The sequence below is a fragment of the Homo sapiens genome, chromosome 7 (assembly GCF_000001405.40).
Source record: "Homo sapiens chromosome 7, GRCh38.p14 Primary Assembly".
Classification (NCBI taxonomy): Eukaryota; Metazoa; Chordata; class Mammalia; order Primates; family Hominidae; genus Homo; species Homo sapiens.
The window spans coordinates 131,566,803-131,577,097 of record NC_000007.14 but is presented as its reverse complement, the minus strand read 5'-3'; positions in this window follow the sequence as shown (position 1 = coordinate 131,577,097).

Sequence of the window (10,295 nt, the reverse complement as noted above, 5' to 3'; positions counted from 1 at the left end):
AACATCTACATGTGACTTAATGCCTGTCACAGAAGAGACACTCAATGATTGTTAGCTTTTTCTCTAAAAGTGTCCTTCAAGATCACACCTCTCTCTCTGAACAAGAAGACTTAGTCACTGACTAAAATACCTTCCTGTGCTCAATGCAGATGGCTAAGACATTTCAAGGCTCTGCTGCTCCATGGAGCTCTGAGCTTTAAAGCATTCCATCCACCTTGGTCGTGAGCACGCTCTGTGCTTTGCCCTCCAAATAGACCTAGAGCTCCTGGAAGGTAGGGACCCACCCACCCAGCCTGGTTCTCCTCCTGTGGTGGGCCCAGGAAGGGACTAGCAACCTGTCCGCTCTCAAGTCAGTGAGAATGCACTCACAGCTCTAGTTCTGTGGACTTCCCTTCTGGCTTGCCACTGAAGTGTGAAGTGTTCTGAGAGCAAGGCCAGGAAGGGTCAGGAAGAGCCTCTGACACTCACAGTTAAGGAAGGATAATTTAATAGTCTTAGGAACAGTCATTATTCTATTTTCTCTGACAAAACCAGTCCAGGTATGAAAAACCAGCCACAGTCGGGCGCGGTGGCTCACACCTGTAATCCAGCACTTTGGGAGGGTGAGGTGGGTGGATCACTCGAGGTCAGCAGTTTGAGACCAACCTGGCCAAAATGGTGAAACCCCGTCTCTACTAAAAATAATTACAAAAATCAGCTGGGCATGGTGGCGCATGCCTGTAATCCCAGCTACTCAGGAGGCTGAGGCATGAGAATTGCTTAAACCCAGGAGGCAGAGGTTGCTGTGAGCTGAAATCATGTCACTGCCCTCCAGCCTGGGTGATACAGTGAGACTCCGTCTCAAAAAAAAAAAAAAAGAAAAACCAGCCACAAAGATTGTGAACTGGACACTATTCTCTGGCTCCCTTCTCCCAGCTTGTAGAGCCCACCTCAACCCTAGGGAGTGTCCCATGTAAGAACATGGTTCTCCAGTCTGGCCACAACCTCCTGCCCTCCTGCCATGGTTCCAGGCCCAGATGGCTTATCTGTGCTAGTTAGGAAAAGGCACTGCATGTTCTGGGCAGGCCAAGCCCACACCAGGGCACAATCAACCTCATCAGTCAAGGCAGCCCTCCCAGCTCCTGCAGTGATGGCAGCCACTAGGTGCCATTGATGTGGAAGCCTGCAGGGCTACCCTGACCTCGATGGAGCTTCTGGCCATCACAGCCTGGGCCACTGAGGCCACCAAGCCTTCTCACTCCTCAGTAGAGATGTTACTCAAGCATATCTTTTTTTTTTTTTTTTGAGACAGAGTCTTGCTCTGTCACCCAGGCTGGAGTGCAGTGGCACAACCTCGGCTCACTGCAACCTCTGTCTCCCAGGTTCAAGCACTTCTCCCACCTCAGCCTCCTGAGTAGCTGGGATTACAGGCACCTGCCACCATGCCCAGCTAATTTTTGTATTTTTAGTAGAGACAGAGTTTCACTATGTTGGTCAGGCTGGTCTCAAACTCCTGACCCCAGGCAATCCACTCGCCTCGGCCTCCCAAAGTGCTGGGATTTGCAGGCGTGAGCCACCGTGCCTGGCCCTTTTTTTAAAGACAGGGTCTCCTGTCATCCAGCCTTGCCCTCCCAGGCTGAAATGATCCTCCCATCTCAGCCTCCCCAGTAGGTGGGACTACAGACATGCACCACCATGCATGGCTAATTTTTTTTTTTTTTTTGAGACAGAGTCTCGCTCAGTTGCCCAGGCTGGAGTGCAGTGGCTCGATCTCCGCTCACTGCAAGCTCCGTCTCCTGGGTTCACACCATTCTCCTGCCTCAGCCTCCTGAGTAGCTGGGACTACAGGTGCCCATCACCACGCCCAGCTAATTATTTTGTATTTTTTTTTAGTAGAGACGGGGTTTCACCATGTTAGCCAGGATGGTCGTGATCTCCTGACCTCATGATCCACCCTTCTCGGCCTCCCAAGGTGCTGGGATTACACATGCATGGCTAATTTTTAAAAAAATTTTTTGTAGAGATGGGGTCTCCCTGTGTTGACCAGGCTGGTCTCGAACTCCTGGACTCAAGCGATCCACCCACCTTGGCCTCCCAAAGTGCTGGGATTACAAGCGTGAACCACTGCGCCTGGCATCAAGTTCGTCATCTTGTTTTTATTTCCTCTATGATTCAGTCTTCTCGCTCTGGGAGCTGGGCCACAGGATAGCCTGGGAAATAGACACTTTCTGGCCTCAAGAGTTGAATCTTCTCTCTGTCCTTGGCCTATTGTTCTAGAACCTGAGAGAGTGTGACTCTCTCATTCCTTAGGGCTAATTCTCTGCCCAAAGGCTTTTGAACTCTCCATGCAGCTCCATGCAGGTAAAGGGCTCTATGCAGGTAAAGGAAGCCCTTTGATAGACCTGAGCCCCGATGGAAACACAGCCTCATTTTAAACTGGACTGTAAATAAACAGTCATCCTCGACATCTCAAGATGCTTTCGTCTAATTGCCCTTCCATGCGTGAATGCCCACCTTTGGGGCCTCTGGTGAACCCTTCACTCATAGGTCCTCCTGGGGAATCCATTTCATTTTTTACATTGCTTTCATTGATGAAAAGTTCATTCCACAGATCCGTTCCAAAGTCCCAGATCCGGCCCTCAATTCTGGGGACAAGCCAGACCCGGTCTCTGCTCACAAGGAGCTTAAATTTAAGCAGGAATGGAAGGCGGAGAGATCTCAGGGAGCATATAAATTATGATGAGAAGGTCGGGTGCGGTGGCTGCCCCCTGCAATCCCAGCACTTTGGGAGGCCAAGGCGGGAGGATGGCTTGAGCCCAGGAGTTGGCAATCAGCCCAGGCAACATAGGGAGACCCTATCTCTATAAAAAATAAAAATAAATTAGCCAGGCATAGTGGCACACACCCAATGGTCCCAGCCCCACGAGAGGCTGAGGTGGGAGGATGGCTTGAGCCCAGGAGGTCAAGGCTGCAGTGAGCTGTGATTATATTACTGCACACCAGCCTGGGCAACAGAGTGAGACCCTGTCTCAACAAACGAACAAACAAACAAGCAAACAAAAAAGCACAATGGACATTGATTGTCTCACAGTTCTGGAGGCTAGAAGTCTGAGTGCAGGGTGTGGGCAATGTTGATTCTGGCTTGGGTCTCTGGGGGAGAATCTGTTCCAGAGCTCTCTCCTGGTTCCTGGTGATGGCCAGTGATCCTAGGCGTCCCTAGGCTGTAGGTGCGTCACCCCAGTCTCTGCCTCCATCTTCACATGGCCATCTTCTCTCTGTGTGCCTCTCTCTGAGTCTCCACATGGGATTTTCCTCTCTGTATCTTCTCTTCTTTTTTTTTTTGAGACAGAGTCTCCCTCTGTTGCCCAGGCCAGAGTGCAGTGGCATGATCTCGGCTCACTGCAACCTCCGCCTCCCATGTTCAAGCAATTCTCCCACCTCAGCCTCCCAAGTAGCTGGGATTACAGGCGTGCACCACCACACCTGTAATTTTTGTATTTTAGTAGAGACGGGGTTTCACCATGTTGGCCAGGTTGGTCTCGAACTACTGACCTCAGGTGATCTGCCCACCTCAGCCTCCCAAAGTGCTGGGATAACAGGTATGAGCCACCATGCCCGGCCCTTCTCCTCTTCTTATAAGAACATCAGTGGCGTGGGATTAAGGGTCTACCTTCTTCCAATATGACCTGGTCTTAACTACATCTGCAATGACACTATTTCCAAGTAGGTTGCGTTCTGAGGTGCTGGGGGTTAGGACTTCAACATACATCTTTTTTTCTGGGGACTAAATTCAATTCATAGTACTTGGTAAGTTTAAACTCTTTCTTCTCTTCTAAAATAGATATAACGAAAGTATCTCCCCCCTAACATGAACATTAAATTAAGTAATAAACATCTAGTGTTTAGTCTTTTGAATAAACATTCAAAAAGACGGCCACTACCATGACCAATGTTAATAACTGGCCAACCTGCTATGAATTTTTCCAGAAAGGGACACATCCCATTCCTTTTTCTTTTTAAGCCCCAGTGTCTAGTCTAGCACAAAATTAGAGCTCAAACTTTTTTGCAGTATGAATGAGCAGTTGCCATTTTGAGAGCAATGTTAAGATCAAAGGAGTGACTTTGAAGGTCTATTTCCTTCAAAAAAAAAAAAACATATATATATATATATATATATGGAGAAGAATTAGGCGATGGTCCAGATTTTCCTGGATAACTTTTTTTTTCTTTTTTTTTTTTTGAGACAGGATCTCACTCTCTCACCCAGGCTGGAGTACAGTGGTGCAATCTCAGCTCACCACAGCCTTGACAATCCTAGGTTCAAGTGATCTTTCCACCTCAGCCTCCTGAGTAGCTGGGAGTACAGGTGCGCACCACCATGCCTAGCTAATTTTTGTATTTTTTGTAGAGACAAGGTTTCACCATGTTGCCCAGGCTGGTCTCAATGTAAAATGTTTTACATTGATCCACGTCACTAATCAATATCTAGATAGGCTTTTTTTTTGCCTTCGCTAATCTGTTGCTTCATTAAGCCTTAAGCTGCATATTTCAACCCATGCACATATAACTTCCCAGTTAGATCCCAAACTCCTAAAAGTCCAGTATCGTACCTTTCACTCATTCTCTATCCTCCAGGATCCCAGCCAAGTGTGATGCTCATCCTGGTCCCTAGAATCACTTGTGGCAGAATCCACCATCTTAGTGTTCATCATTATTTCAATCAGCAAACATTTGTGGAGCTTCTTCTAGGAGCTGGGAGTCAGCAATGAACATGAGGCAACATCCTCCCTCTGCTGCAAGAGAAGGGGCAGGAAAGGACAGGCTTGGGTGCTCCCATTATCACAGCATGGCAACAACTCCAAGAGCGATATGAAAAACATGCCCCAGGGAAGAGAATTCAGAAAATAAGCTTCACAACTGAGGTTCTTTTGAGCTGAACAGTGGGGGGAAAAAAGAGGATTCAGCCAGGCACCGTAGCTCACACCTGTAATCCCAGCACTTTGGGAGGCAAAGGCAGGTGTATCACCTGAGGTCAGGGGTTCGAAACCAACCTGGCCAACATGGTGAAACCTCATCTCTACTAAAAATACAAAATTAGCCAGGCGTGGTGGCACACACCTGTAATCCCAGCTGCTCGGGAGGCTGAGGCAGGAGAATCACTTGAACCTGGGAGGTGGAGGTTGCAGTGAGCCAAAATCGTGCCATTGCATGCCAGTCTGGGCAACAAAAGCAAAACTCCGTCTCAAAAAAATAAAAGAGGATTCTTGGAGAGAAAGGGGTTTTCACTTGAAGGGTACAGTTCTTCAAATAGCTATGGCAGAGTTGACTGCCTAGCTTTGAAGCCCAGCTCTACCTGTATGATTTTGGATAAGTGATTTAACCCACTAAACTCACTAGGCCTCAGTTTTCTTTCTTTCTTTCTTTCTTTCTTTCTTTCTTTCTTTCTTTCTTTCTTTCTTTCTTTCTTTTTCTTTTTTTTTTTTTTTGAGACAGGATCTCACTCTTCTCACCCAGGCTGGAGTACAGTGGTGCAATCTTAGCTCACTGCAACCTCCACCTCCCGGGTTCAAGTGATTCTCCTATCTCAGCCTCCCAAGTAGCTGGGATTACAGGCACCCGCCACCACACCCAGCTAGTTTTGTATTTTCAGTAGAGACAGGGTTTCACCATGTTGGCCAGGCTGGTCTCAAACTCCTGACCTCAGGCGATCCTCCCACCTCAGTCTCCCAAAGTGCTGGGATTACAGGCGTGAGCCACTGTGCCTGGCCTAGGCCTCAGTTTTCTTATCTGTAAAATAGGAAGACAATTGTTTGTTCCTCATAGGTTTGTCATGAAAACTAAATAACGCTTGCAACGCACTTCAAATAGGGCCCAGCACAAAGTAAGTGTTCTGCAAACAGTAGCTATTGATCATTAGACTTGCCCGACACAGGAAGAAGAAAACATATTCAAAGACTGAATTCAAGGTTAGAAACCTGGTCAGGCAGTTCCAGGCTCGACAACTGTCTGTAGCGTAGAGGTGCCTCATTCTATGTATTCAGTGTGTTACAGTTTCCAAGTAAAGCCTTGGGTGGATTTTTGGTTTCAAAAGTGGAGAGAAGGCCGGGTGCAGTGGCTCATGCCTGTAATTCTAGCACTTTGGGAGGCCAAGGTGGGTGGATCACGAGGTCAGGAGTTCAAGACCAGCCTAGACAACATGGTTGAAACCCCATCTCTACTAAAAATACAAAAGTTAGCCCGGCATGGTGGCAGTGAGCTGAGATCATGCCACTGCACTCCAGCCTGGGCAAAAGAGCGAGACTCCGTCAAAAACGAGCAAACAAACAAACAAAAGTGGAAAGAAAAATGCTGAGGGGTCACGAGAGGAAAATGAGGAGGCTGGGCTTGGGGGTGGTCCTGTGGAATGGAGACTTGGGGTTTTGGAACCTGCAGGGCACTGGGCGGAAGCAGGGAAGTCGCAGAGCTTTATTTCTGTGGACAAAGCAACAGGCTGCAACTGTGGTACTTAACAGTTGCACAGACAATGCAGTCTTTTGATCCTTCCTGTAAGAGGTGGTTGCTGCCGGAGAAGCAGCCTCTTCAGTCATCAGATGATAGAAGGGTGTGAGCTGTGCTCTTTGGTCTAGCGGTCCCCAGGGAGGCATGTTAATAAATGTTAGATCCAGGCTTTCTTCTAAAAAGTCCAAATTAGTTTTCCTAGTGAGTTTGCAGCAGTCTAGATAAAATAACTTGGATGTAAGAACTCGAACTCCTTGACAAAGCAACTGTTAGATACTTCCTAAAATGTGAGGACGCTGCAGAAACTCACGCTCTTGATGGTTCCTATGGAAAGGATGGGGACCTCCCCCTTCAGAATAAACTAGGTACACTCACTCCCACCTTGGGACAGAGGAACAAACCACGGGATCTTGACCCTCGCACCCTGCCTCATCCATCACTATGTCTATGTCTAGGGGTTCATAAAAAACAGCACATGACAGGCCACAGTGGCTCACCCGGGTAATCCCAGCACTTTGGGAGGCCGAGGTGGACAGATCACTTGAGGTCAGGAGTTCGAGACCAGCCTGACCAACATGGTGAAACCCCATCTCTACTAAAAATACAAAAATGAGCCAGGCATGGTGGCAGGTGCCTGTAATCCCAGCTACTCAGGAGGCTGAGGCATAAGAATCTCTTGAACATGGGAGACGGAGGTTGCAGTGAACCGAGATCGTACCACTGCACTCCAGCCTAGGTGACAGAGCAAGACTCAGTCTAAACAAAAAGGAAAAAGCAATAAAAACAGCACATGGCCGGGCGTGGATGCTCACACCTGTAATACCAGCATTTTGTTCAAGACCAGCCTGGGTGACATAGTGAGACCCCTGATGATGGTAAATAAAGCATAAAAACATGACTTTTTGCTTTTTAAATTACCTTTGGAGGAAGATTCATTCATCCAGCCAGTATTTATTGAGCACCTACTAAGGCCAGGCACATGCTAGGCCTCAGGTGTAGGTGTGAAGACAGAGACATGGCCCGAGGTCTCATGGAGCTCTGAGTGTCGTGGAGGGGGCAGTACTGCACACACAAAGAACCAAATCTGGAAATGCATGACCCACACGTGCTGTGAGGGAAGAGAAGGCAAGAGCTCTGTAAGCTCTCGGATTCTCTAAGTTCATGATTTTACTCAAGCCCCTAAGCTATTTGATTGTCAGGATTCTTTCCAACTTGAGAATTCTGGAATTCCCACATGGCCCCTGCAAACAGCATTTGCGATGGTGGGGGGCAGGGGAGGCTCTGCTTTTTCGTCAGCTCCTCAGCCGCCTCTGCTCCAGGCTGGTCCTCTTGGAGCTGTGGGCCCTGACTGTCTTCCTGCCGCAGAGAGGCCGATCTTACAACCCCAGCTGTGCACTTTGAGTGTGCAACTGTCATCAAGTGCCCCGGTGACATGGGGAAGAACAATGCTTCAGAGGTTAATGAAGTCATGGGAACCTCCACTGCTAAATCCCAGCCTCGTGTGTTGCTGTCATTTGTCCGTATCTGGGCCACTTGTTTGCTCTAGCGGGTCTGCAGCCCTGTCCCCATGGGTCCTGGCAGGGCTGCTCCAGTTTTACTGTTGAGAGAAGGACACCTGAGCTACATACTTTTCCCGGAGACCTGAGGCCCTGAAAACGGAGTGTGTACTCTAAGAGCAGAAAGTATGATGGACTTGCATAAATCCGGGCTTGATTTGTGAATCAAACTTCCAGGAAAGGTGAATAGAATCCCGTAATAATTACTAACCAATCAAGACAATTAGGAAGCCTTCTGCACATGTGAAAGGGAGAGGTGGGGAACAATAGTGCGAAAACGCTGGAGTGGGGTGGCAATTCTGATTTGTGCAGATGGAGGAAGTAGCCCACAGCTGAGCAGGATCCTGTGATTACACGGAAAGTTGTGTGTGTGTTTGCCTTCAATGCAGGGCATGGTCTCCTGTGTATTGTATAATAAAGGCTCAGTTAACTGGAAATTGTAAGGCTAAGTACGTGTCCGTTCTTATTCAAGTTGGGTGGGCCTCTTTGGGGATCCAGGGTGGTGTGGATTTGAAAAGTTTACAAATGACTTTGGTTAAGTGATTACAAGAGGTTGTGTGGGTGAACCAATCATTTCCTTGAATTTTTTTTTTTTTTTTTTTGAGACAGAGTCTCGCTCTGTTACCCAGGCTGGAGTGCAGTGGCACGATCTCGGCTCACTGCAAGCTCCGCCTCCCAGGTTCACACCATTCTCCTGCCTCAGCCTCCTGAGTAGCTGGGACTACAGGCGCTTGTCACCATGCCTGGCTAATTTTTTGTATTTTTAGTAGAGACGGGGTTTCACGGTGTTAGCCAGGATGGTCTCTATCTCCTGACCTCGTGATCTGCCTGCTTCAGCCTTCCAAAGTGCTGGGATTACAGGCGTGAGCCACCACGCCCGGCCATTTCCTTGACTTTTTAAAAATGCTAGTAGTCAGCTGGGCCTGATGGCTCACCCCTGTAATCCCAAGACTTTGGGAGGCAGAGGCAGGCAGATCACCTGAGGTCAGGTGTTCGAGACCAGCCTGGCCAACATGGTGAAATCCCGTCTCTACTAAAAATACAAAAATTAGCTGGGTGTGGTGGCACACACCTGTAATCCCAGCTACTAGGGAGACTGAAGCAGGAGAATTGCTTCAACCCGGGAGTAGACGTTGCAGTGAGCCAAGATTGCATCACTGCACTCCAGCCTGGGCAACAGACTGAGACCCTCCCTCTCAAAAACAAAACAAAACAAAAAAACACTAGTAGTCTGCTTCATCAGCATCATATATTTTAGATTGTTCCTAGGGGCAGATAGTTCATCTTTTCACCATGTTTATGGGACACAGAAGGCAAAGTTGTAATACAATGAATATCTCTTTGCAGCCATTTATTCACGCTCTGAATATCGTAGTAGTTTTGGGAGTCAGGCTGCCGGGTATGAACCCTGACTCCATAACTGTTAAGCTGTGTGGTTTTAGTCAAGTTACTTAATTTCCACAAAGGCCTCCAATTCCTTATCAGTAAAACAAGATTAATAACAGCACTTACCTCGTGGAGTTGTTGTGAAGATCCAATGGGCCCATCCATGTAAAACACGTAGCTCAGTGCTAGCACACACGGTAAGGATTGGTGGACTCCAGATAGCATTCACGTTGTTCTTATTACTGAATGCCAATATTGCAACTACTGAGCCCTCAACCTGGGCCAGATGCTGTGCTGAGAATGAAACGGACACAAACAAAGTGAGGTTTTTGCCCTCAAAGAAAGAACTTGAGGTCTGTCTGTGTGCATAACTAACGAAAGGTCTGTCCGTGTGCGTGACTAACAAAAGGCAGGCAAAATCAGACAGTGAATGAAAGCACCAGCACAAGGCAAAGGGAATCCAGAGGAGGAAGTGTTTCTCTCTGACCTGAGGGGCAGGGCTCAGGCCAGAATAGGCTAGGAGATCACTGGCAGGTGGGAGCAGGTTAAATCCGGCACAAAGAGCAGCATCTAAAGCATTCAAGAGTGAATGTGAGGCCAGGTGCGGTGGCTCACCCCTGTAATCCCAGCACTTTGGGAGGCTGAGGCGGGTAGATCACTTGAGGTCAGGAGTTTGAGACCAGCCTGACCAACATGGTGAAACCTTGTCTCTACTAAAAATACAAAAATTAGCCAGGTGTGGTTGCGGGTGCCTGTAATCCCAGCTACTTGGGAGGCTGAGGCAGGAGAATGGCTTGAACCCGGGAGACGGAGGTTGCAGCGAGCCGAGATTGTGACACTGCACTCCAGCCTGGGTGACAGAGCGAGATTCAATCT